The 26,045-nt window shown below is 54.1% G+C and overlaps 1 protein-coding gene across 13 annotated transcripts, besides 5 other annotated features; it reads right to left on the bottom strand.

The window, feature by feature from the left end:
* Window positions 1-18: 18 nt before the first annotated feature.
* Window positions 19-26,045, bottom strand: ASIC1 (acid sensing ion channel subunit 1). Of its 13 annotated transcripts, none has more exons than XM_011538350.2 (13): window positions 25,725-26,045; window positions 24,513-24,890; window positions 23,687-23,882; window positions 6,581-6,673; window positions 6,278-6,428; window positions 5,514-5,641; window positions 5,064-5,223; window positions 4,661-4,717; window positions 3,586-3,739; window positions 3,052-3,143; window positions 2,460-2,539; window positions 2,277-2,381; window positions 19-2,096 (listed from the first exon to the last, which is right to left on the bottom strand). In XM_011538350.2, the coding sequence occupies exons 2-13, from the start codon at window positions 24,872-24,874 to the stop codon at window positions 1,992-1,994; spliced, it is 1,683 nt and encodes a 560-aa protein (XP_011536652.1). In that variant the 5' UTR covers window positions 24,875-24,890; window positions 25,725-26,045; the 3' UTR covers window positions 19-1,991. The 13 variants fall into 13 exon arrangements, 12 of the variants coding, with proteins under 12 accessions (XP_011536652.1, XP_011536654.1, NP_001399685.1 ...); NR_046389.2 differs by having other exon boundaries at window positions 30-2,096; window positions 5,064-5,220; window positions 6,592-6,673; NM_001412756.1 differs by having other exon boundaries at window positions 30-2,096; window positions 5,064-5,220.
* Window positions 2,384-2,553: a silencer, noted in NCBI's record as "fragment chr12:50474871-50475040 (GRCh37/hg19 assembly coordinates)". NCBI's record gives its function as "represses an EF-1alpha promoter that drives an FKBP-Casp9 reporter gene in an ReSE screen in HepG2 liver carcinoma cells {active_cell/tissue: HepG2}" and the evidence as "EXISTENCE:reporter gene assay evidence [ECO:0000049][PMID:32094911]".
* Window positions 8,003-8,052: an enhancer, noted in NCBI's record as "active region_6341". NCBI's record gives its function as "activates an Ori minimal core promoter by ATAC-STARR-seq in GM12878 lymphoblastoid cells {active_cell/tissue: GM12878}" and the evidence as "EXISTENCE:reporter gene assay evidence [ECO:0000049][PMID:35858748]".
* Window positions 8,183-8,282: an enhancer, noted in NCBI's record as "active region_6340". NCBI's record gives its function as "activates an Ori minimal core promoter by ATAC-STARR-seq in GM12878 lymphoblastoid cells {active_cell/tissue: GM12878}" and the evidence as "EXISTENCE:reporter gene assay evidence [ECO:0000049][PMID:35858748]".
* Window positions 8,303-8,572: an enhancer, noted in NCBI's record as "active region_6339". NCBI's record gives its function as "activates an Ori minimal core promoter by ATAC-STARR-seq in GM12878 lymphoblastoid cells {active_cell/tissue: GM12878}" and the evidence as "EXISTENCE:reporter gene assay evidence [ECO:0000049][PMID:35858748]".
* Window positions 25,843-26,012: a silencer, noted in NCBI's record as "silent region_4445". NCBI's record gives its function as "represses an Ori minimal core promoter by ATAC-STARR-seq in GM12878 lymphoblastoid cells {active_cell/tissue: GM12878}" and the evidence as "EXISTENCE:reporter gene assay evidence [ECO:0000049][PMID:35858748]".

The raw sequence follows: 26,045 nt of genomic DNA, 5'->3' as shown, positions 1-26,045 counted from the left end.
CAAATAAGAGAACAACACTGAAGAGGAGATGGTTGAAACCCAGTTTATTAGACCAGAGGCATGCGTCACCCAGAGCCCTGCCTGCTGTTCCCCTATCCAATGCACACTTTTTGGCCTCATTCCTGCTTCCCTCTGGGGAGGTATGATCTCTGAGGAAACTCTTAGGAACCAAGAGATTCCAAAGATCCTACAGCCTTACTCTCCAGCTCCAGGCCAATGCAGCTGCTCACAGGTCCTGTTCTGGGATTGAAGACCAAGACACAGCTAGGGAAGGAAGGCCTGAAGAGGGGTTGGGGCTCAGGCCTGGAAGGAGTGTCTGGTGGAGGGAGGGGGGGCAGGCCCTCCACCTCACTTGTCTCTCATTAAGATAGGGTGAGACAACAGCAGAGCTTTCAACTCCTCCTCTAGGCCTCTCTTTCCTCCCAAACCCACCTCACCAGAAAATAAAAGTGGTGGGCTTGGGTATCAGGTGAGGAAAGGGGGCTGGGCACCCAGAAGGAGGAAAGGCCACTGACTGAGGACCTCAGCTTCTGCCTGTCAGCATCCCACTGCCCCAACTTCAGGAGTCGCCAATCCCCAGCTCCCTTCTGTCTCTGACACACTTGGCTTAGTGTCCAGGGTAGACCTCCATCCCCTGGGTGGGGGCTATCTCTACAGCAACCCCTTCCCTGGGGATGCCACTGTCAGCTGGGCAGAGGGCAATGGGATAGGAGGAGCAGGGGAAGAGAATGTTAAGGCTGCAGGGAGGGCCGAGGGTGCCCGGGTTGGGGGAGAGGGTGAGGCCAGAAAGAGGCAGAGCTTGTGATTCACAGCTTCCTTTGTCGCCACTGAGACAGTGCAAAGGTTACAATGCGCGTGTCGTCTCCTTGTGCTTCTCAGAGGGATGTGTGTACACAGTACAGACACCAGGGGAGAGAGTCCAACTCTTTATACAGGCGAAGGCATTCAGAGACCAGGGAGGGAGTAGAAACATAGAAGGTGGAACTTGGGGTGGGAGAATGGTTCTCAGAGACAAGAGGGGATGGGGTGGAGACAGACAGGGCTGGGAAAGTATATACAGAGATATAGCAATATAGAGTCTGTATCATATAGAAATAGAAAATGCAGATGAGGTTGTTGAGAGAAGCAAATGAAGTTGGGGAAGAGGATGTGGGAGAGTTCCATAAGAAAATTTATGGACGTGGCCCTCTACAAGGGCCTCCGGGAGAGGGACCAGTGAGGTTAGGCACTAGCGCCCTTCTCCCTGAGCTGGACGCTAACCAGCCCGGTCTTTAATGGGATGGTGAGGAAGGGCTGCCTCTTGGGATTTCTCTCCAGCAGCTGTGGGGTGGGGGTGAACTTATAGGTATCAGGATGTAGCCTACAGCACCAGGGCCGCATCTTGTCCCCATTACCACTTCTTAAGGGGATCCCCGACCCCCACGAGATTCCACATGGTGTGAGAGAGTGGGGCTGAGGTTTTAGTTCCTGCCAGGAGACTTGGGTTTGGGGACAGTCACTGGGCTGAGAGGGTCTCTTAAGGCTGGGGAAGCCTCCCTCCCCCACACTAGCCCTCCCCCTTAAGGTACATTCTCTGGTTTGGGGCCAAATTCCAGACCCCAGAGATCCCTTCCACCCCTCACTGGGAAGGGCCTTTGGTGACTGGTGGCAGCAGAATGTAGATGGACACTCAGATGGCAGACAGCTAGATAGACAGAATTCAGGCTGGGAGCTAGGGGAGGCAGCATGGAGGAGAGAGGGGCAGCCTGAGGTCCCTTGCCCCGTTCTCCCTTTTTAGTTCTTTTTTAGATTAGTTTTGTTAAATGTAAAAAGAATGGGATAGAGGCAGAGAGAGGACTCTATGGTCAAGACTCCTTCCTTACCACAGACAAGAGGAAAGATCTGCCCCGGAGTGTGGGGAGTCCCCAGGGCAGATGTGAGGAGGCAGCTGGGGGCCCCCTCGCTCTCCTAGTCCTCCCCATCTAGGCCTTTGGTTCAGCGGCCTGCGGGGCTCAGCAGGTAAAGTCCTCGAACGTGCCTCGGGCCGGATGGTGAGGTAGGATGTTGGCAGCGTATGTCATCCCGGCAGGGTGGCCCCGAAGGCTCTCGCACGGGTTCTGGGGGAAGGGGACAGGACAGGGACGGGTTATCCCTCGGAAGGGCTTCAGGTAGTGCTGGGGCATTCGGGAGGCAAAGGAGAGAAGGTGGTGGCAGAGGCGGGTGGGCGGGGGTGGACGGGGTTCCTGGGGCGGTGGAGGCACAGGCGGGCTGGAGGGCGCCCTCGCTCGCTCCCTCACGTGTCTTTTGACGTCGTCCAGGCTGAGGGCCACGCCCTTGTCCGCACTGCTCCTTTTGGCCTCCTTCTGGCATTTTCCTCGTCGGCACAGCTTGTGCTTAATGACCTAGGACGGGGACGGGGCAGGTGGGCGGGCTGGACCCCGCCCCCACGTGGCCCCGTGCCGGGCCTCGCCCCCGCTTACCTCGTAGGCGTAGTCAAAGAGCTCCAGCACCGTGAGGATGCTGGCCCCGATGAACAGCCCCATCTGGCCCCCGATGTCACCTGCGGGGGCAGGCGCCAGGGGGGTCAGTGGGGTCAGGACATCGTGGGGGCAGCAGGGTTTACTGGGACTGGGGCAGGCAAGTTGTATTCTCAAAGGGATTGGTAGCCTTCGCACAGAAGGATCGCAAAGCCAGATTCAGGTGGAATTTTTGTTTTCTTCTCTATGCTTTTCTGCGTTTTTCTACCTTTCTAAAACAAGCAGGTGTTTTTCAAGAAAAATAATCGTTTACAAAATACCACAACCCTCTTAGTTTAGGGGCATATGAAATAGTCTCCACTTCCATGCCTACCCCTCCCTCATGCCCACAGGCCTGTCTTTTCTCTTTTCCACTTTGCCCTAAGAGAAGGCTCAGTTCCCTTCCCTCACCACTTACCAAGACAACAGGGTTTGGGGAAGGGCCTCTGGGGTGGAGGACCCTCATGGGACAGAAGTGAGCACCCTGCTTTTGGATGATAGGGAGCCACGCCATGCCCATGGCATGAGAAGGGGACAGGTGTCATCAGCAGCTCACCCAGGAGCCCTGCAATCTCATAGGCCTTCTTCTGTTCAATGGTCTCATAGTTGAGGACTTCAAAGAAAATGTCCAGCACCAGGATGTTCTCCCTGCACAGGGATTGGGGGAGGAGACCTAGGTTCAAGTCATATCTCTATCTCTTACTAACCAGGTGACCTTGGCAAGGCAGCCTCTCTGAATCTCAGTTTCCATATCCATAAAATGAGATGCTGATGGAGATACCTGCCTTTTAGGATTAAATGAGATGGCATATATGAAAAAATGTTCTGTACCATATGCAGTATGCATCAAGTATAAAGTGACTCCGGTTACAACAATGAGGATGAAGAAGGAGGAGAAAGGGGTGCTTCCCTGCTTATTCTGGCTTGATCTTCCCTGCATACCCACCCTAGACTCTTTGCTTGCCTTTTGGACCTTCCCCGTGTTATCTCAAGTTCCCCCTGCCTGCCAGCCCCCGCCCCCATCAAACCCCACTCATCCATTCCACAGTCCCAACCCAAGGGCCTTGCTCTACCCAGCCAGAGCCCTTACCCTATGTATTGCTCAGATTTGTTGAACTTCTTGGCCAGGTACTTGGCTGAGGCTTTGCTGGGGATCTTGACCATGGACAGCTCTTTGCCATAGCGGGTCAGGTTGCAAGGCATTTCACACACGCAGTACTCCTGGTCCTTCTCCACCAGGAAGTCTGCACTCAGCCAGGTGAGAGGTCTCAGTTGAGTGGTGCCCTTCTGCCAGCACCTTCCCACATGCACATCCTAGCTCTGCCCAGAGAAACTCTGGGCCCCTTTCTCTTTCCGTGACCTGCCCTTCACCCTGCCTGGATGCTAAACTCTGCCAACATCCTACCTCACCATCCAGCCTGAGGCATGTTTGAGGACTTTACCTGCTGAACCCTGCAGGCCACTGAACCAACGATGTAGATGGAGAGAACTAGGAGAGTGAGGAGAACCCCAGCTGCCCCCTCACAGCTGTGTCTACCATGTGCTAATTCTCACCAAGCCTCCCCATGGATATTTCTTACTCTTATATCTCACTTCCTCAGGACCCTCCAGGGTCAACCAGCTGAGGGGCTGATGAAAGAAGATGAAGGCCATTCCCAGGTGACCTCTGTTCATTTTTCATAGGGGCCTCTGAAGATGCTATTCTCAACTTTATTGATTATTATTATTATTCTCAGACAGGGTCTTGCTCTGTCACCCAGGCTGGAGTGCAGTGGTGCAATCTCGGCTCACTGCAACCTCACCTCCCCGGTTCAAGGAATTCTCCCACCTCAGCCTCCAGAGTAGCTGGGACTAGAGGCACATGCCACCATGCCCACATAATTTTTTTTTAATTTTTCATAGAGTCAGGGTTTCACCATGAAACCAGGCTGGTCTCGAACTCCTGGGCTCAAGCAATTTGCCCACCTCAGCCTCCCAAAGTGCTGGGATTACAGGTGTAAGCCACCATGACTGACCATTCTCAGCTTTAATGTCAGACACAAGAGAGGGTGCAGCCCAGTCCAGGAGTTATGTGAGGCTTCTGGGAGCGTGACCTGAAACTCCTGCGCACGTGGCTGGCAGCACCTTTTCCCTCCCCCAGACTGCCCCAGGCCAGGGGCGCTCACCCAGAGCAGGATCTGCACACTCCTTGTACTGCTCTGGAGTACAGTATGGGGCATCCCCTACAGAGGAGAAAAGACAATGATGCAGGATGGGAATTCAAGGGGTCTGGTGATGGTGGTAGTACCAAAGGCCTAGAAGGTGTAAGCTGGGAGAAGATGGGAAGGGAGGACTGGCAGGCCCCCATGCTGCCCCAGAAGTGACCCACTCCAGGTCCATACCTTCTAGACCCTTCCCACCCATCCCTGGGGGTGCAGGCGGGAACTGAGGTCAGAGAGACATGAGCCAGGTGGGTGTGGGATGGGGTGGGCTGGAACTGGGGTTGGGAGATTGATATGGATGGGGAGCTAGTGAAGGGCAGCAAAGGCCCAGGGACCCCAGGAGTATGCTCGGAGCCCCAGGCCTGACCTGGCATGTGCACCATGCGGCAGTTGCAGTTCTCCACCAGGTAGCGCGTCTCACAGTCGATGCGGCAGGCAGTGATGCTGTAGGAGTCGAAGAAATCCAAATCCGAGTCCATGGTAACAGCTTTGCAGGTGCCCCAGGGTGGGGGCAGGTAGATGAGCTGCTGGGAGAGCCGGGGAGCTGGGGGAGTGCGGGGACTTCTCCCCAAATCAGCTTGATGGACTCCTCTGACAAGATGCAGATCTCTGGAGTTCTGCTCCCCTCTCCCTCTGCAGCCTCCAAAGGTCTCAGAGTTTACAGAGCATTCTTGTTCATTCGATCACTCATGCTTCTGACTAGCCAGATTACCACCCAGGTCCTTGCTCACCTGTCCTTCCCATTACTGATTGCCCACCACTCCATCTGGACCCCTCAATACCCCACCCCAGGACCAGCCTCCCATGGCCCTCTCACCCGCTGCTCCTGGCAGGCCACAAAGGTCTGGAAGCCTGGGGCCACGCCAAAGCCCAGCTGGTCGATGAAAGGAGGTTCATCCTGACTATGGATCTGCACTTTGATGCCTGCTTCGAAGGACGTCTCGTCTAGGGGAATGAGGAGTGTGTGGGTTGGGAGGGCTCCTGACTCCCTAACACCCCTCAGACCTGGGGGCATCCTACCTCTCCTGGAAATAAGCATAGGGTGCACTGGGGCTGGGGTGGGGGAAGTCTATAGGGTCCTAGCCCACCCCCTAGCCTCCTTCTGGGTTTACCAGCTCTGAGCTGCTCCGATGACCCCTGTATCCTACACACTTCTTTTCTTACCTGGCTTCTGCTCTGCATCTTGATGTTTCAAATACTTTCTCCCAGAGTGTCACTGTTTCAGATGCTCTCCATTTCTCCCACTCCCTTTTTCCCTTTTCCCCCATCTCTCTCTGCCCCAAGGCCCCCCGAGACCAGACAGGCAGGCAGCCCGAGAAGAGAGGGAGTTATTTATAGAGTGGCGGCGGCGTTGATGGAAGAGGATGGCTGGTTACCTTGGAGAGTAACTGAACCAGGAAGTGGGAGCCAGAGAGATGTGAGTGTGGAAGTCAGGTAGAGTCAGTGATAGAGATGGTGAGATGCTGGAGGGAGAGGGGAAAGCCCGGGCCCTGCCCAGGTCTCACAGTGAAGCCCAGGAATCCCCTGGCAGAGGCTGGGGCCTAGAGCCATGCAGAGGGGCCCCTGAAGTGGGTGACGTACCAGTCTCCCCCCACACAGGCAGGTACTCGTCCTGCTGGATGTCCAGCATGATTTCCAGCCCATTGCCCGTCCCACCCTTCATGGTCTTCAGCCGCGGCCGCCCATCTCGGCCCGAGTTGAACGTGTAGCACTTTCCATAGCGTGTGAAGACCTGGCGAGGGCAGAGTGGAGAGCCTAAGAGTCCTGCCAGCACCCTCTACTCACCAAGGGCTGTTCCTAGCCACCCCAGCTGTTGGAATCTCAACACCCTTTGGGAATGGTTCCTCCCGTGCAGCCCATTCTCCATTTGCTCCCCTCTCCCACCTGTTTCTCACCCTTTCTTGCCCTCTGTGTGCCCTGGAAAACTGTTCCTGGTAGGGTGCATCGCCTGAGCTCCTTTGCCACCTGCATGGGCTTCTAGTTGGGGTTGACAGTTGGGAGGTATTGGTAATGGCTCAGAAGGCAGGAGGAAAGATTGGGGTATGAATCCTTCCCCAGCCCTCGCCCCTCTGTAGCTCTAGTAGTGCCTTAGGCCCTCCATGATTACAGATCCTGCCAGGGCTCCCTACAGAGCACTGTCTTCTTTTGTGCTTCTTCAGCCTAGAAGTGATAACGATTTCCTAGTACTGCTCACTGCCTCAGTCCCCCTTATTGGTTTCCTTAACCCTGCCCCCAGCTCTGTCAGCAGTCCCTTTGTTAAAGTCTTCAATTAAATCATCAAGTAGCTGTCTTTTTCCTGCCAGGACCCTGACATATACATTTTCATCACCAGGATCCTAACACGGCCCCTCCTTGGGACACTTTCCTCAGGCCCAAGCTCCTGAGGCCCTCCAAGACATATCTTCTCTTCTCCTAGATTTCACTCTGGGAATCTGAAATTCTGCTTTCCCCAAGACCCAAACTCAGTTTTTTTTTTTTGGGATGGAGTCTTGCTCTGTTGCCCAGGCTGGAGTGCAGTGGTGCGATCTCAGCTCACTGCAACTTCCGCCTCCTGGGCTCAAGTGATTCTCCTGCCTCAGCCTCCCAAGTAGCTGGGATTACAAGTGCACAACATCACACCCGGCTAATTTTTGTATTTTTAGTAGAGATGGGGTTTCACCCTGTTGGCCAGGCTGGTCTCAAACTCCTGACCTCAGGTGATCCACCTGCCTCAGCCTCCCAAAGTGTTGGGATTACAGGCATGAGCCACCGTGCCCAGCCAAACTCAGTTTTTTGGTTTCATTCAGCCCCTAGCCCCTTGGGTCCATCATTATTCCATTATCCCATTATCAGCAGAACCTGAAAGTAGACCCAGTTGCCATGCCAAGGACCACACTCAACCAAGCACCAGCACCTCTTCTTCCAGCACTTGGGACTGAGCCCCCAGGGCATGGTGTGTGCGTTAATGCTTTTGCAAAACTAGGAGGGCCTCAGAAGATATCTCAGCCCCAGGGGCTGTCTCCCCAGTCTTCTCCCCACTCCATGCCCCAGTGCAGCCCTGGTCACAGTGCTGATTAAAAAGCTGCAAAGAGAAAAGTAAACCAGTTATCCTTGGCCTTTTCCCCACAGCCTCCTTGAATGTCCCCAAGTTGGGGTGGCTGTGCTTTTACTACTGCTGGATGGTGACAAAGTCCACAAAACAGGTCATAAGGTGAGTCAATACAGCCCAGAGCAGGGGAGAGACAAAAGAGTTTCAGGCCAGACTGGAGCAGCAATGGCAGTAGGTTACTAGGGAATACGGTCTTTGCCCCCTTCCCCCTTCCTAGAACAGCCTCCTCCATTGACCTCCAGAAGAGGAGACATACTGCTCTCCCCACTTTGTGGGTGAGGTCCAGAGATGAGGCAAAGAGAGAACTCCAAGGGCTCCTAGTCCCCAGCCCCATGACCAGGTCTTGCGGCACCCAGCCACAGGCTCCAGGCTGGACATATGCCCATGCCTACACTCCATCCGGAGTTGTATGGGATTAGAGGTGTCTGAGGCCGGCTAGCAGCCCTGTCTTGCGCCGGTTCAGAGGACAGGGCTGCTGTACAGTGGATTGCTGCTGCCACCTGGTGGGCCTGGGTGAGAACTGTCTGCTCTACTCTCGGGCCCAGAGGTAGACACATTCCTATGGCTCCTGGCCTGAGGCCCAGTGGCCCAAACCCCCAGGCCCCTGTATGCCTGCAGTCATCCCATGATGCACGGGTATGATGACACCCCCTGCCCCTACGCTAGGGAGGGGGTGGAGGACTGAGGGATGGGTGTGTGGGGCAGGGAAGGCCTGGCATCTGGGAGCTGGTGGGGCAGGAGAGCAGTCAGGCCAGACAGACCTGGAAGATGAACTTAGGAGAGACAGTGGGGTACCAGGTGGCCCCCCAGCAGGGAAAGCCCTGGACCCCTGGGTGGGGGGCCAAGCAGAAGGACAGTTCCCAGTGAGAGCTTCCCCTAGGAAGAGGGTCCCTGGCCACTTAAAGCTGGGGAGAGGGATATGATTTAGAGACCTGTTATTTACCCTCAGACACACACACACACACACACACACACACACACACACACACACACACAGAGCTGGTGGGGGTGGGGCGTCCATAGGAGGGCACAGGAAGACCAAGTGAAGATGCAATGAAGTCCCTGCTGCAGGAGATGCTGACAAGGGCCATGGTGGGGTGGGGTTGGGGGATATCCCCACCCCTCTACTGTCACCCTTTCACTCCCTTCTCTTGTACCACCAGAGACCAGGCAGCACCCACCCCAGCTTCAGTCCATGGGTGCTAGTCAAAATAGTGAACAACTGGCCAGGCACTGGCGTCCACCAACAGATCAAAGGTTGACCTCACAGATGGAGCAAGGTCCCGGGCCCTGCTGGACCATGAGGAAGTCTTGAGAAGGGCAGGTAAAGCTGGAGGACATGTTGGGAGGCAGCAGCAAAATACCAACTAAGACAGACGTGTTTCAAGATTCTAACAGGAAAAGCAGCACTGGTGTGGACCTGGGAATACCAGCCCAGCTCCAGGCCCCGGACTCCTGGGTGAGCTCTGGCCTGTGTCAGCCAGATGAGGTAGGGGGCAGCACAGTCATCAGCCCCAGCCCCAGCCCCAGCCCCAACCCCAGGAGGTGACAGTCAGGGACAGCCATGGCAGACACTCTTGGGGTACTGTGGCAGGCATGGGGCTCCACTCACCACTGAGAAGTTGTGAGGGCCGCAGGGTCCCCCTTGGTAGGAGCAATAGAGCAGCATGTCCTCCAGCCGGTGGCAGGAGCGATTGTAGAAGCGGTGCAGGTTAAAGGGCTCCCCAGAGAAGGCCTCAGGGCCCGGTGGAGCGAGGGGCACCCCGGGGTCATCACTTTCATCCAGTCCCAGCATGGGGGCCAAATAAAGCAAGTCAGGGTAGCTGAGCTGGGACAGCCGCACAGCATTAGTGTTGCAGAGGGTGACTGCCGGGAAGGCCAGCTCCGTGGTGGCCACTTCGTTTAGAAGGGTCACGTGTGGGTAGCTGAGGTAATAAGCAACGCGGTCCCCTACCTGGCACAGGAAGGCACCCAGTGCCAGGACAAAGGCCACCGCCCACAGCACCTGCCTTGGCCCTGGACCCCCCTCCACAAAAATGTGGTTGGTGCCATGGAGGGTGCAGCTGTTGGCAAAGGCCACCAAGTCCATGGGTGAATGCCCCTCACTGGCCTCCTTCCTCACTGCCTCCTTTTCCTTCTCTTCTTCCTCCTCTTCCGATTCTGAGATGTCCTGCTGCTGCTGATGGTGGTGGGGACCCCAAATATCTCCCAAGGGCCCTGGGGCTTCCTCTCCAGAGGAGAATGACATGGAGCAGAAGATCTGGATGGGCATTTTCTCCAGGGGCTTCCTGGTGCCAGGGATTTGCAGGAGGAAGGGGGAAGGTGCCAGAGGGGAAGGCGATGTGACTCCAGGCAGAGTCCGGCAGAGCCAGCCACCCAGCCCGTCAGCCAGGTATCTCAGCCCAGCTGGCCGTCCTTCCTCACCAGGGCCTCTGTGGCAGTGTGGCTGGGGCGGGGCATGGGAGGAGGACCAGCCTGCCCTGCCAGGGAGGGCGGGTGTCTGGGCTGATGAATAATTGATGGCAGTGGGAAAGGGAGGCTGATGGAGAGCAGGGGGCTGGAGCCCCTTTCCTGTCACCAGCTCCGGCAGCACAGAGAGGGTTTAGGACAGAGTGGAAACCCTGGAAAAGCCTAGGGCTGGGATTCCTGGAACCCACCCCTCCCAGGTGAGACGGGACCTAGCACCATCCTTTGCACCCACTGCCATGATGATCACAGCGACCACAGTCCCTACCCCCCCAGGACACACACAACACACACTCATGCTCTCTGTCATCCTCCAATCTGTTCCTCAGCATATCCCTCAGTGTCCCCATCCCAATTCTGGGTCCTCTCCCTTATTCTCCCTCGTCCAGTTATTCCTCTGGGATACCTGAGCCCCTCCGTGCCCCACCACCAGGTACTCTCTCAGACCTCCAATTCCAGTCCCCGACCCTGTTTCTCTTCCCCTCCCTCCCTGGCCCCAGCTCTATTTCAGGACAGCATTACCAGCCCTCGTCCTACCCACCTATGCTGAGATGTATTTTGGTTCCTTTCCTCTCCCCTACCCCTCCTGTGGCTTGTGGGCCAGCCCAGGTTCCATTAGCAGCAGTCTCTCACTGACCACAGACTCATTTCTGACCAGTTCCCGGCACTAGGGGGAGGGACCCTGTCTCCTGCAGTGGGAAAGCTTCCTGGCAGATCACCACTACCCTTTTTGGCCTGCCCCCCGCCCCCCGAACAGTTTAGTTTGTTCGAGGAATTCTCTGGTGGGTGGAAGAAATTGAGATCAGTGCTGGGGGTGGGGCAGGGGGACCTGGGTCAGGTAGAGAGTATTGGGAACCAACTTGGGGTTCCCACCAAAACCCTCAGCCTTGCAGACTCCCGGCCTCAGTCTCTGAGGCTCCCCTACCGCTAATTTACCATTCCCTGCCCCCAGGCCCCTGGCCCCTCTGTGTGTTCTGATTACTCAGGGCCACTGGTTGAGGAACTTGAGCCATCAGCCAAGTCTCCAGGGCCAAGAAGGTGACCCGAGGGGAGGAGGGGAAGCGGGGGAGGGAGGTATAGCAGATTAATGCTTTCTCTGCAGGGCCAGAGGAGGAGCAGTGGGGCTAGACCGGGGCTAGGTGGGTCTGCTTGGGCCTCCCCATTCCTTAAGCATCCCCTAGCCCCAGGCCATGTTCCCCTTCCTCCTCCTCTCTTCTCCCTCCCTGCTCCCACCATCTTCCCTTCTCCATTTGCAGAGACCCTAGAGTGTGTTGGGGATGTGAGGCAGGGTGTCAGGTTCTAGCAGAACTGAGTGATGTGGAACCTTTGGCCTCAGCTTTGCTGCCAGGGACAAAGAGGCCTCAGAAGCAGAGTCTTGAGCTCTAGCCCCTCTCCATCCTTCTGCCACTGCCCTCAGACTGGCCTAAACAACAGCCACTGTCCTCCTCTTTCTGCCACTGCCCTCCTCTTTTGCCTAAACAACAGCCTCTCAACTGGTCTCCCTGCCTCCCTGCAGTTTCTCCCCACCTTTAGTTCGAGTTGTGTGACTCTGACCATTCTTCTGCTTAAAGACCTTCTCTAGCCAGGTATGGTGGCACGCACCTGTAGTTCCAGCTGCTTGGGAGGTTGAGGCAGAAGAATCGCTTGAACCCGGGAGGCGGAGGTTGCAGTGAGCCGAGATCGCACCACTGCACTCCAGCCTGGGCGACAGAACAAGGCTCCATCTCAAAAAAGTAAAGACCTTCTCTCACTCCCCACTGCCTCCTGGCAAAATTTAGTCCTCTCTTGTAGCCCCACAAAGCTGAAAGCAGCCAGGCGTGGTGGCTCACGCCTGTAATCCCAGCACTTTGGGAGGTCGAGGTGGACAGATCAAGAGGTCAGGAGATCGAGACCATCCTGGCTAACACAGTGAAACCCTGTCTCTACTAAAAATACAAAAAAAAAAAACCAAAAAAATTTAGCCAGGTGTGCTGGCAGGCGCCTGTGGTCCCAGCTACTCGGGAGGCTGAGGCAGGAGAATGGTGTGAACCCAGGAGGTGGAGCTTGCAGTGAGCCGAGACTGAGCCACTGCACTCCAGCCTGGGGGACAGAGCAAGACTCCGTCTCAAAAAAAAAAAAAAAAAAGCTGAAAGCAATGTACCCTCCACCTCAGGCCAGCATCCAGCCACCACCACCTGTCCCCAGACACACGAGGCTCATCCACAGTCCTGTGCCTTCCCTGGACTCCATCTGGAGAATTCCTACTCATTTTTCAAGATCCTACTCACATGTTACCTCCTCCAAGAATCCTCCCGACTCCACAGGGTGCTGTTAGTGCCCACCCAGGGAATAGACTAAAGGGTCCAGTTCTGCTCAAGGCCCTACAGCTATGAGTAATGACCGAGAGCAAAAGAGCAGGACCAAGAGACCATGTGCAGGAACAGGAAGCAAGGAAGGCCAGGAACACCCAGGGCAACCAGAGATAAGTCATTGCAGAGATGAGGAGAGACTCCCCCACCTTCAGCTGCTGTCCTCAGGCTTCTCCTGCATGAACCTGTGTGTCCTGTCCTGTGTGTATCTTTTTCCTGCCTGCCAGATCTTGAGCTCTCAGAGGGCAGGGGCCTCCTCCTTTGCATTCCCCAGGAAGTGCTTCAGAGAGGACTTCCAGACTTGGGTGGAGTGGGGCTGAGGCTTGGGCTGAGGAAGCTGCAGCTGCCCATGCGTTCCCACTAGAGGGCACTGTCCCCCTCCTTCAGATGTTTTGGAAGGGGAAGTAGATTGATTTCCAGAAGGAAGCAGCTAAGGCAGCGGGAGCTTCCAGCTTGGGAGCCCCAGCAAAGACAAGGGTGTGCACGCACAGACAGTGCCAAAGGACAGTAAGTTGGGTGCAACTGAATACCTCTTCCCCCACAGCAACCAAGACCACACTGCACACTTGCACATTACCACACAGACACGCAGCCCTGGTGTGGGGCGACACACACACCCCAACACACACACACACGCCCCAACACACACACACCCCAACACGCACACACCCCAACACACACACACACCCAACTGCATGTCCTCTCTCCTCCATCGCCTGTATGCTTGTTCAAACAAATGCTTATTCTTCTAACATTCTTTCCCATCTTCATCTTGTTCAAGTAATTGGGGGATGAGGAAAGTGTCAAAGGGCATACACAGAGGGCCCCTGGAGAGGTGCCCAAGCAGACACACACACAGAGCTGCACTCAGTCCTGAACCCTCTGTCCAAGCATACAGCGCCCCCCACCCAGACCTTCTCTTTAGCAGTGTGTGCTGAGTGGTTTCTGACTTTTTCTATATCCCTTTCTTCATTCCAGCCACCCCTCATGTCTGTGTAATGCTTCATGGTTTTCAATTGTTATCTCATGGGATCCTCACACAACCCAGTGAAATAAGCAGGTTTGAGTAACTTCATTCCCATCTGACAAGTGAGAAAACTGAGCCACACCAGCCTATTCAAGTCTTAGGGAGAGCAAGAAGTGGGCTGGAGGCTGGAATGAGGTCATCTGTCTCCAAATCCCTTGCTTCTTCATTCTTGCATTTACTCATTGACACAGTGGAGAACACATCATGGACCTGCCCTCATGGAGCTTACTGTCGAACAGGGAAGACAGACCTCAATTCAAAAATGAAAAAAACAAATATCTAATTGCAAACCATAAGTGCTATGAAAAAAAAAAATGACTCTATCAGAGTGAATGACAGAGGGACTTGCCCCAGACTGGGGAATTAAGGAAGCTTTCTCTGAGGAAATGATGTTTGAATTACAGTCTAAAGAATAAAGAGGAGGCTGGGCGCGGTGGCTTATGCCTGTAATCCCAGCACTTTGGGAGGCTGAAATGGGCGGATCACTTGAGGCCAGGAGTTCAAGACCAGCCTGGCCACCATGGTGAAACCCCTTATCTACTAAAAATACAAAAATTAGCCAGGCATGGTGACACATGACTGTAATCTCAGCTACTTGGGAGGCTGAGGCATGAGACTTGCTTGAACCAAGGATGTGGAAGTTGCAGTGAGCTAAGATTGCACCACTGCACTCCAGCCCAGGCAATAGAACGAGATTCTGTCTCAAAAAAATAAATTAAATAATAAATAAATAAATAAATAAATAAATAAATAAATAAAATAAAAAATAAATAAAGAGGAGTAATTAGGTAATGGTGTGTGTGTGTATATATTTGTGTGTGTGCACGTGCGCACTAGCGCTTACCGCTGTGGAGGAGGGAGGATATTCCAGAGAGAGAACTGAGTGTATGCAAAGGCCTGGAAGGAGAGAGATGAGAAGGGGCAAGTGTGGCTGGAGAGGTGGGTAAAGGCAGGGAGGACCCAGGTCACTCAGGGCCTTAAAGGCCACGGTGAGGATTCTGGCTGAGGGACAATGAAAGACTCCCCATGGAAGGCGTTCAAGTGATCAGAGCTTTGATTTGAAAAGACCACTCTGGCTGCAGAGTGAAGGATATAGAAGGGCTGCTGGAAGGCCTGTCGAGGAGCCATTGCCGTGGCCCAAAGAGACATGCAGTGGTGGGATGGGCCGGAACAGGGGGTAGAGTGGAGATGTTTATGAGGCAAAATTGGCAGATCCTGTCAAGGCAGGTGAGGGAGATGGAGTGTCAGGGATGATTTCTGGTTTGCATGACGGGGTGAACAGTGGGTGGCTCACTAGATCAGGCACACAGGTAAAGAACTAGTTTGGGAGGTAAGATGATGACTTTGGTTTTGCACATGCAGGTTTTGAGGAGTCTTAGGGACATCCAAGTAGAGACGTTAAGTGGGAAAATTGGCGACTGGAGCTGATGCTAAGAGGAGAGAGCTGGGCTGAGACATAAATTTGGCAGTTGTCAGTGTGTAGATGGTAATTGAAGTGATGAGTGAAGATGAGACTGCCCAAGAATAGAATATAAAGTTTAAAAAAAAGATAGAAAAAAAGGTCTGATTTGGCAGTATCCACTAAAGCTAAACAGAATCATACCCTATGACTTAACCATAGCTCCATAGCTAGTCATGTGCCCAGGAGAAATGAGTGCATATATCAACCAAAAAACATGAACAAAAATGTTCATAGTAGCTTTATAGATAAGAGCCAAAAACTAGTAACAACCCAAATGTCTAGCATCAGTAGAATGGATCAATTGTGGCATATTCATATAATGAGATACTATACAGCATCAAAAAAGAACTAACCACTTCCACACACAACAACATGGCTAAATCTCACAGACGTAATCACAAGCAAAACAAAACAAAACAAACAGACACAAAAGAGTATACACTGTATGGAGGATACATATACTCCAAGAAGTTCAAGAATGAGGGAAATTGATCTATACTGTTAGAACAGTGGTTAACTCTTATGGGGTAGCATTGACTAGGAAACAGCCTGAAGGAACTTTCTGGGGTACTGGAAATGTTTTATACCAATGCAATATGCAAAATACTACACTGTAAGACATACCAGTGTAAAAATTTTTCAAGCTGGTGCATTGTACTCTTATGATTTAAAAGAAGATTAAAGCTTGAGACTGAGCCTTGAGTAGTGATGACACTAAATGGCCAAGTAGAAGAAAATGAACTGGCAAAGAGACAGAGGAGTGGGTAGACATAGGAGGAAAACAAAGAGAGTATGATTGTCAGGAAAGCGAATAGTTCAAAAAAGAGGTGGTGGGGTCCGGGCGCAGTGGCTCACGCCTGTAATCCCAGCACTCCGGGAGGCCGAGACAGGCGGATCACCTGAGGTCGGGAGCTCAAGACCAGCCTGACCAACATGGAGAAAACCCGTCTCTACGAAAAATACAACAACAACAAAAAAATAGCCGCGCATGGTGGCACGCATCTGTAATCCAGCTACTCAGGAGGCTGAGGCAGGAGAATTGCTTGAACCCAGGAGGCGGAGGTTGCAGTGAGCTGAGATGGTGCCACTGCACTCCAGCCTGAGCAACAAGAGCAAAACTCCGTCTCAAAAAAAAAAAAAAAACAACAGCAGAAGAGTTGGTGGGCAACTATTTTAAATGCTATTGAGAGATCAAGAATAATAAAAAAAATATTTGCTGGATTCGGCAACATGAAGGTGACCACTGGCCTTAGCTAGAACCATTTAGGAGGAATGGTGATGATGGGGGAAGAAGGCAGCCTGGAGTGGATCAGAAAGTGAGTTAGAGATGAGGAAATAGAAACAGTGAAATAAACATATCACTTTTAGGAACTTTGTAAAGGGAAGCAGAGAGATACTATAGGAGCTGGCAGGTGCTGTGGAGTTGAGAGACACATGTTTTAGTTTTTATCTTAGCACAAAGACCGATACATAGCAAGTTCTCAATATATGTTAGCTGTCGTTACAGCTATGTATTTTAAGACAAGAGCATCTTCAGCATGTTTCATTGTCAATGGGGTTTCACTTGAGAAAGAGCGACCAACTGTAGAGCAGGGAGAGACAGAATTAGCAGGAGAAAGATCTTAAAAAGGCAGAGGGAATAAGATGAAAATTCTAGGTTGAGACTTTATCCTAGATAAGATGAATGTTCCCTTCTAGGGCTTGGTACCCAGAAGAAGGACAAGATCTTGTCTGAGGCTTCTATTTTCTCAGTGAAGTAAGTGGTAGCCAAGGTCATCCGCTGAGGGTGAGAGAGGAGCTAGGAAGGGTGACTGAGAAGAGTGGAGAAGTTCGAAGTAGTCATCAGAGAGAGCAAGCTGACCAGGAAAACACAGTGGGGTTGCCAGGCAGCACTGCACGCCCATTTAAGGATGTTGAGCATGAACGCAATGTGATACTAAGCTGCCCTGGTATGTGACTTCCTCAGGGAGGTCCTGACTGCCCTGGTGTGACCCTGGGGAAAGCCAGTGGTGGGTTCACCTAAGATTGGCACTTGGCCTGATGATGCAATGAAAAGACAAAAGCATCAAAAAACTAGGCCTACTCAACTTGGGAACGGGATTCCTAGGGTCTCTTCTCTATACCCTTTCTTGCCCTTCCTGCCTCTCCACACTGCTTCTCAACAGAGCACCCTCCTCCATACACACTCCTACAGCCACACACAAAGAACCCGGACTTAGAAGATCTGAAGTCAGGGTCCCACTCTGTCATTTCCCAGCTGTGTGACCTCAGGCAAGTCACACAACTCCTCTGAGCCTCAGTTTTCCCATCTTTCCAATGAAGATGTTAATAATTTCCTTCCTACAAGAATTATGAAGATCACGTGAGCTAAAGTAAAGGGAATTTGTAAATTGCAAAGCACAACTGAAAGAGATGATTAATTTTGCTAGTATGTGCTCTGCATGCAACCAGAGGTTTGCCTACACAGAAGCTTTCTCTCACAGCCACACACACCAAGCTGCATGGGCCCCCATACACCTCCACATGCTTCCACTTCACACTCTACATTCACACTCCCCTGCAGACACACACAGAGGTGCACATGTGTGCTTGCATGCTCGGGGCGCATATGTGATGAGGGTGTTGTGAGGAAGTCTGAGATGGCTGCTGTCCATGGCCAAGGCCACTGCCACAGTCTCACCCCCAGGGATGTTCTCAGCCTGGCATGCTGGTGTGACACCAACTAGAGACACATGGCACTAAGCTGCACAGCCCAACCTCCTGGGCCCCCAGAACTGTCAGCCACACAGAGGGCATGCAGAAGGGTGGGAAAGCATTTTCTATCCAAGAACTCATGGGATCTCAGAAAGATCACAATTGACCCTCCCTCTCCCTGGAGAGTGGCCTTGGAGAGCCTGGGGTGGCAGTGTCTGTCCTTACAGTTCCTTAAGGGAACTTCCCTTTCAAGTGAATACACAGCAGCTTCATGATCATTTTTAAATATTCTATGAGGAAGATGTCCAATTCCTGTGTCCAGGTAGGTTGGCGCTGCACATCCATTACACATGGGGCACCGTGGGCTTGGCCAAAGAGTCCCAGAGGAAGGACTGCCCCTCAATAAAGAATAATTTTACAACCTCCTTACAGGAGATTGGGCTTAGAAGCTAAGAAGTGGGGCCAGGTGGAACTTTGCCCAAAATAGAGACCAGGAGCCCTAATGCCCAGTCCTATCCTCCACCCAGCTAGGCACCCCTTCTCATTCTCGCTGTCTCCTTCCAGCTTTGCCTCCCAGAATGCACACCTAAGGGTCCTGACTGGGACGTTATAGGTCAGAAGGTAGAGGCTTCTGCATTGGCCACCCCAAACATACAAGTGAGGGAAAGCTTGGGGGTGGGGGTGGGCAGGGGTTGGCCAAGGCGGAAGAATGGCCGGAGAGAATTGGCCGGTTGATTTAGTTAGCTGGGGAGACACCAACATATTCTATGAACCTGGCATTTTCCGAGAGGCTGAGTTTGGCTGGGGAGATTGGGAGGACTCCCCCTGGATGTTGAGAGTCTGCTCATCCCCAGCATGTTCCCCCTTGTTCTGAAGCCCACCCCACTGGGCCCCCTTTAGTACCACCCCCATGGCTCTCAGCCCTGAACCTTCCGTGCTGCACTTAACTGCCCCAGCGCAGGACCTGGCACATGGAAGTGGCACTGTCTGCTATGGGAATGAATCCAGTGGAGCTTAACGCTCCCCTAATCCCAGCTTCTCATTCTGAATATTCTGTCTCCCTCGCTATCCCCAGAGAATTGAAATTACTTTCCACAAAACTGAAACACACTCAGAAGCAACCTCCATCCACAGCAGAACATTCCAAGCCTCTCTGTGGGCCTGCCCTTCTGCCTCCAGGACACACTGGGCATGCAGTGGCCATATCCAGGAGTTCTCCACCAGCTGGGCAGTGACAAAGTCCCAAGACTTAGAGGTGCTCCTCCCCAGCCCTCCACTTCCAGGCTTGGCCCCCAGAGGCACTTAGTTACTGAATTCCCTATTGCTTTAGCCAACAGCCCCCAGGTCAATTAGCTTAGAGTAGTTCTTAGCTGATAGCTGTCTGAGAGAGGGATGGAGTCAGAAATGGCTGGGGTCTGGGGAGAAGGGGAAGAGGTGAGAGAGGAAATTGGGCTACCTGAAGGATGTTTGTGTGTATCTGTGTCTGAGAGAGAGGCAAAAGGAGACATCTGAGACCCCAACCCAGGGACCACCCACTGGATTCCTGCAACTGCAATGGGCTCTGCTCCCATCTCCTCTCTCCACCCACCTGTGTTCAGTTTAGGCACTTCCTAGGAGAGAGGGACAGATGAGAAGGATAAGGCAGGAGGTGGTAGCCATGAACCCCTAGGGCAGGAACCCTTCCCCCAAAGTTCATGAACCCCATGAACCCCTCCTCTAAAGTTACTGTCTCCAGGTCGGCCTCTTCTATCCCTCTGCAATCTGTGCATGTTCCCCCTTCCCACCCATGAAGACCACCAGGCCTCTGGGTGGGGCTGCCCAAGATTCCCCTTCCCCTGTCTGCATGGCAGTCTGGGCAGCCTTTCCCTTCAGCAGCCCCTCCACTCCCTGCCTAGCTGGAGGGTGCAGACCCCAGTAGTAAGGTCAGGCCCTCCCAAGGGACTTCTGGTCTGAGCTTCTATGGGGCAGCATGGGGTGTGGGGATGAGGGGTGAGCCCTAGGGATGAATAAACTCCATGCTAGTCCTGGCTCTTGCTGGGCACTGCCATCCCTGGCTCTCCTGCTTTAAGATGACTTCTCTCTCCCCACTTTGGGTCCCAGGATCAGGCGCCCACAGCCACCTCTCATTGCAGCATCTTACTTCCCTAGGTGCTCCAGGGGATGCCCGGGCCCCTTCAGAACCTAGCAGTGGATTGCAGGGGAGGCTTCTGTGCTCATCCCCATTCACTCCACCTCTTCCCTGGGAGATTCTGGTCTCCAATCCAGGGTCCTGAGAAGGACTCCTGTGGACCCCTCCCAGGGATTCCTGTCCCCCAATTTCACCCTCCTGAGAGAGATTATGAGTCACACCACATGTCCACCCCAGCATTTCCACTCTGTCCTCCTCTTCCTTCTCTTCCAGGCCCCAGAAATGAATTCCTGCTTCTCTCTCCGCTAGGCAAAGGGTCTAGGTCTCAGCGGAGGAGGGGGTGGCATAGGGCAGACTGGGTGACCATCTGCCAGCCCCCTCCCCTTGCTGCTGCTCAGCATTCTGGCCACATCAGCTGCTCCCACTGCCAGGGACAGATAAGGTGCAGCTGGAGGATGGCACCAGCTGCGACTGTGCTCACTTCTCTGGCCCCCACCCAGACACCAGCAGACAGCTGCACCCCAGCCCCCCTCCATGGAATCCCTGCCCTGCCTTGGCCTGGCTGGCCTCAAGGTGGGGCAGGAGAGAGGAGCCATGGACCCCATTGTCTTGGCAACAACACACCCTACCAGGAAGAAAAGGAGGTGGCCGGGAAGAGGGGGCCTTGTGGTTGGGTCACTGTGGTTGCTCAGGAGGCAGCTATTGAAACCTTCCCAGCCAGGTTGCTGTGGGGATACTCCCTGCCCTGCCCTTCTCCCTCTTCAGTCCCGAAGGATTTCCAAACCAGTCTCTCCCAGATTCAGCTCAGGCTCCCCATATTCACCCCCACCCTCCCAAGCTGACTCAGCCACACCTGGGGGATGGACCCTGGCCAAATGCTTTGTGACCACCAACTATTCCCTGGGGTTGAGCTAGATCCAGGAGCACATCTGGAGAAATGCCTGTTACTGCAGATCCTCATCAGGGGAGCTGGGGTCTTTGAGTGACCAGAGTAGCCTCCCTGAATTGTCTTCTTATGCCTCCCCCAACCAGCCTTGAGAAACAGGGTTCTTATTGTTGAGAAGAGGGTTGCCCTTAGAAATCTACAAAAGAGTCCACACGTGCCCCCGCACGCTATACTTTGCAAAAGCATTGAGCAAGGTCTTGGACAGTGGGGGGTGGTATCCCACAGCAATCCTGTTGGATGGGGCCCAGCAGCTTCTTCCTGAGCTACTGAAAGAGCAAGCAAAGCCCTAACCACAAAGCCTCTCTTCCCTGACTACCTTCTTTCCTCAGTGAAGAACCTCTGCTCTGAAGGCTGCAGAAGATGCCAAGATGGTCTCCCTTAGATCGACCCTATAGACAGGTGTTTCCTGTCAGTGCTACATCTGCCCAGGGCTAGAGACACACTCCCAACACACCTCTTGGCCTAGCAGAGAATGGCAAGGATGTTAATCACAAGACTGAGGAGAGAAGGGAGAGCATGGAGTATCAGGCAAGGAGTGTGGGAGCCCTTAGGACTGGGGAGCTGGAGGAGAGAGACTGCCAGGCCCTTCTCCACCGGGGAGGTGTCAGACATGGACTCCAGCCAGACGCCCATCTGTGTGGGAACATCCCTATGGGTAGAGCTCTTGACATGGAGAGGGGCTGGCAATGAAACCAACTGAAGAGAGCAGAGGGAGGAGTGAGAGGTTTGAGTCCAGCAAAATTCAGGGTCAGGTCTTTGACATGGGCTGCAAAACAGCAAAAACCTGGTCTTCCCTGACAACCCAGAAGCAAGAAGGGGCACAGCTGGGGCTGCAGGGTGCTAGCCTGTGTGTCTTTACCCCTGAGTAAGAGGAATAATTCAGACTGCTCCAGAACTTTGTGAGCCAATCACATCTCCATCTGACTACTTAGAATGGTCCCCTCAGACAGCATGGACCAATCACATCTCAGTGTCTCCATTACCATCAACCAAATGTTATCTTAGCATCACCACTTGGAATCTTTCTGGACATGATGGACAGATGGAGCCTCAACTGAATACTTTCTATGGACTAACTGTGCCCAAATTTATATCTTAGCACCTCCTCAGATTGAGCCAAGCACTTCTCTCCCTCATCCAACACTACAAACCACTCAAACAAATACGTTTTCTCCATCTTTCTCACGGGTCCCTCCTGCTTGTGTGTTGGGTGTGTTGGAGGGAGGCGGCTCTGGCTTTTGCTTCCACCTTCACCTACAGTCCTGTTACTCTTGGGAGCATCACTTGTGAGACTGCAAACCCTCTGGTCTCAAGCTCTGGGGAATCCAGGACTCTCCTGTTATGAAGCAGTAAGAGAGGGAAGGAAGTGGTTCTTGCATCTTGGCTAAGCTCCCCATCAGCTTGGCTCAGCAAAGAGTGCAGTCATGTGAACTTTGTCCAGCAGGATTGACAAAGGCCAGTGAAACTGGTCTGCAGAGCAAGGCTTAAGGATATTGGGAGGTCTTGCACAGCTAGAAACACTAAGCATGACTATGGTGCCATCCTTTCTGCACAAATACAGTTCATATTCCCATACTGCAGGAGGAAGCAAGCAAGCGGGGAGAAAATAGGCAGGAAGAAGGAAGAGAATCCAAGAGCTGAGTAGGCATGGAGAGCAAAGGGTCCTGGAAAAGACTGGCAAGAATTTGAAGTGGACACAATAACCCCAGGGTCCACAATATTAATTAAAAGAGTAAAGGACATTTTCAGCTTAACAAGACATGAGTTCTAATCCTGAACCTGTCACCTGTCACTAACTGTGTGAGCTTGGGTAAATCATTCTGCCTGTGTCTCAGTTTCGTGCATTTGTAAAACAGAGGTAATGTGATTATGTATCAAGGGGATTGAGGGGAGCCTAGAAAGCATTTGAAAGAGTTACAAGCATTGTCCATTCATTTGGTGTTATTGTTCCTGCATGGCTCTGGAGCCTCTGGTCTCTTTGCCATCTGGGTCCAGGTCTTAACCCTCAGGAATCTGTGTGACTTGCCCAGGGTTGCCCAGCACATCAGATGCCAAAATCAGTTTCCCTATGCCCTCCCTGAGGTGCTGGCCTGAGGCAGCCACATCTGTGGGGCATCTCCATTTTAAGATGCAAAGGAAGCCTCCAGGGCAGCCATGACTGGGTGTCCCGATGGCCTTCCTTTCCTCAGATCCTGGCTCTGCGGCTCTTGCCGGCAAGCAGGAAACCTAACCAAACAGTGTATGTGTCTATGTATGGGGTGCGGATGGCACACAGGGAGTTACTGTCTGGCTATTTAAGAGAAGGTTTCCCTTACTTGTGCTTCACGGTGCTTCTCAAACTTTAGTGTATACTCCAGTCACCTGAGGATCTTATTAGATGGAGATTCTGGTTCAGTAGGTTTGGGAAGTGGGGTGGCAAAGTCCTGCATTCCTTTCAAGCTCCCAGTTGATGGTCCTGGACCTCACTACAAGTAACACGGCTGTAGCTTACCCACCTGTCTGCTCAGCTCTGACACCTGTGGCCTAGAAGGTAAGCTTGGTGGGTTTGTGGCTATGCCAGACCACGCACGTGTGTGCATATATGTGTGTGTTGTGCACTGTAGGCTCTCTTTCCTGCCATCATGGCTGCAAGGCTGAGGCTCAGGTGCTCATGCAGTGAGTGCAAATGTGCCCCTATGCTGAACAAACTCCCCTTCTACTAGAAGCAAACCCCAGGACATACAACTTCCTCTCCCAGAGTAGCAAGCACCCGGAGAGGCCCAGCCTGCTCCTTGTCTCCTCCTCCTCCTCTGTGGGCCAGGCTGACTCACACCCCACACGAGGGGACTCACCACCTTGAAGTCTTCAGCGCTGCAGACCTCCCCCCGGAAGTGGCAGGAGAGCAGCATGTCTCGAATGTCGTGCCCAGCTCGGTCGTAGAACTCACGCATGTTGAAGGGTTTGGGTTTGAAGCTGCGGAAGTTGGCTTTGTCCTGCAGTATCTCCAGCTGCTTTTCATCTGCCATCTGTGTGTCTGGTATCTCATACCTGGGGTCCGGGGGTGAGTGACACACGGGTCAGTACAGTCATCAGTGTCCTGCACCCAACTTGGGTGATGGGGGCAGCCTCCAGCCCTGGGGATCAGTCCCAGGTGTAGGCAAGGAAGGAGAGCTGGGCATGCAGAGGCTCTACCACATGGGTCTGAAATGACAGGAGGAACTGTAGTGGCTGCCCAGGGGCAGGGCATCCCATCCCAGCACATGGGTGAGAGGAAGCATGGATAAGGTGGGCAGAGAGACAAGGCAGGGGCTGTGGCTTTTATACTGTAGTTTCTACCCTTTAAAGATGTTCTGTCCCCATCCCCCAACTGACGAGAAGGTCAAGACAGAGTGGCCAGAATGAAGGTAAAGCTCACTCCAGAGAGGGTGACAATGTCTCATACCTCAGGCTGGGTGGGGGTCGAGCTGTTCTGGACTATGCTGGGATCGGAGGCTGGGTGCCCTTAACTGGGTGCTCAGCAGCACCCTAACTCCTCTGCTGTGAGTGGCAGGTTTGGGGGTGGGGGTGGGTTAAAGGGCAGGGTTGGCTGGGCTCTATGGTGGGTCAGGGAGGCAGACATCCTGACTGGAACTCAAGCAACTCCAGGAGCAGGGCTGAGGGAGGGTGGGAGCCACCCACCTGTTGTTGAGCAGGGCCAGCAGCTCCCCAGCATGATACAGGTCATTCTTGGAGACTTGGCTAAAGCGGAACTCGTTGAGGTTGCACAGCGTGACAGCAGGGAAGGTAAGCTGAGAGGCAGCCACCTCGTCGAGCTTGGTGACATGGTGGTAGTGGAAGTAGTACTGCACACGCTCCGTGCACACACACAGCAGCACAGCCAGGGAGCCCAGGAAGCACAGGGCCCACAGTGCCCGCTTCAGAGACAGCCGCTCGTAGGAGAAGATGTGGGCCAGGCCGTGCAGTGTGGAGCTGCTGGCGAAGGCCTGGATGCTCACCGGCTGGACGCCACCCACCTCCTCCTCCTCGGCCTTCAGTTCCATCCTTGTTGAGGGGATCCTGGGGGAGGAGGGAGGGACAGTCTATCATTGTCCTGGGATGAAAGTACACATGGAGCCCCTCCACATGTGCCCATCCAGAATCCTCATCTCCAGAGGTCACCACTCCTCGGGCAGAAGACTTCCCTGCTTTGCAAGCCCAGAGGTGGCTGACCAAGGGACACATCCAGGGTTCCTCCAAATACAGAGGCACAGGGGGTCAGGTCAGGCCAAGAGAATGCTCCCCAGAGAAGCTTCCCAGGCCCGGGGAGACCCCAGATATAGTCATCCGAGGTTGAGGGGGAAGTCCTGATGCACCCATAGGCAGGCGCAGGAGTTCCCTCCAGATGTGGGGTCACTCTGGGACAAGAATATCCACCCCATCCTGGAGATGAAAACTCACCCAGATGGGCTGACCCCGGGGTAAGGAGCTCCTGTCCTGGTCACGGGTATTCCCTGGACGGGGCTGTGGTCCTAAGGGCTAAACTGGGGCCAGAAAACCCCCAGGGAGGTGGCTACATCTAGGGAGGGGCCCAGCCTGAGTCCTCACCTGCGGGTGTCTCCAGTTCTCACATAAGCGCAGGCTGTGTGTATGTTGGGAGTGGGGGGTGGCGGGCTGCCCGAGGTGGATGTATGGAGGGGGGGCGCGGTTCCCTATGACAGCGAGCTGTCCCCGCCCCGGACGCAGCCCCCCCCAGTCCAGCTTCTCGTCGCAGTCAGATCCCCAGCTCGGCCCCCGCCCCCCTCCCCAGCCACCGAGCCGCCCCAGCAGCAAGGGAAATCCAGAGGGAGGAGAGTCCCGGCTTCGGGGTACCGAGGAGCCTCGCGGCCAAAGGCAGGGGTATCGGAAACCCACCTGAGGGGGCTTCGGCAAGCCGGCAGCCGGCGGCGGGTCCTGGGGCGCTGGACCGGTGGCGGGCTCAGCGCCGAGTCGCGGAGGGGCTCATGGCCCGGGGCCGGAGCCCGCGGCCGCCGCGGCACGCCGCGCAGAGCCCTGCAGGGAGCGCCCCGCCCGGCCCCGCTCGGCTCCGATCTGTCCGCCCGCCCGCGCGCGCTGGCTCGCTGGCTCGCTCGCCTCGGCTCGGTCTGCCCGGGCTCGGCGCGGTGCGCGGTGCTCTCAGCCCTGGGATCTGCAGGGATCCATCGTCCGGCCGGGAGGCGGCGGGAGGGGAGGGGG

This window comes from Homo sapiens, chromosome 12 (assembly GCF_000001405.40).
Source record: "Homo sapiens chromosome 12, GRCh38.p14 Primary Assembly".
Taxonomy (NCBI): domain Eukaryota; kingdom Metazoa; phylum Chordata; class Mammalia; order Primates; family Hominidae; genus Homo; species Homo sapiens.
This window is presented reverse-complemented; position numbering and strand designations above follow the sequence as displayed.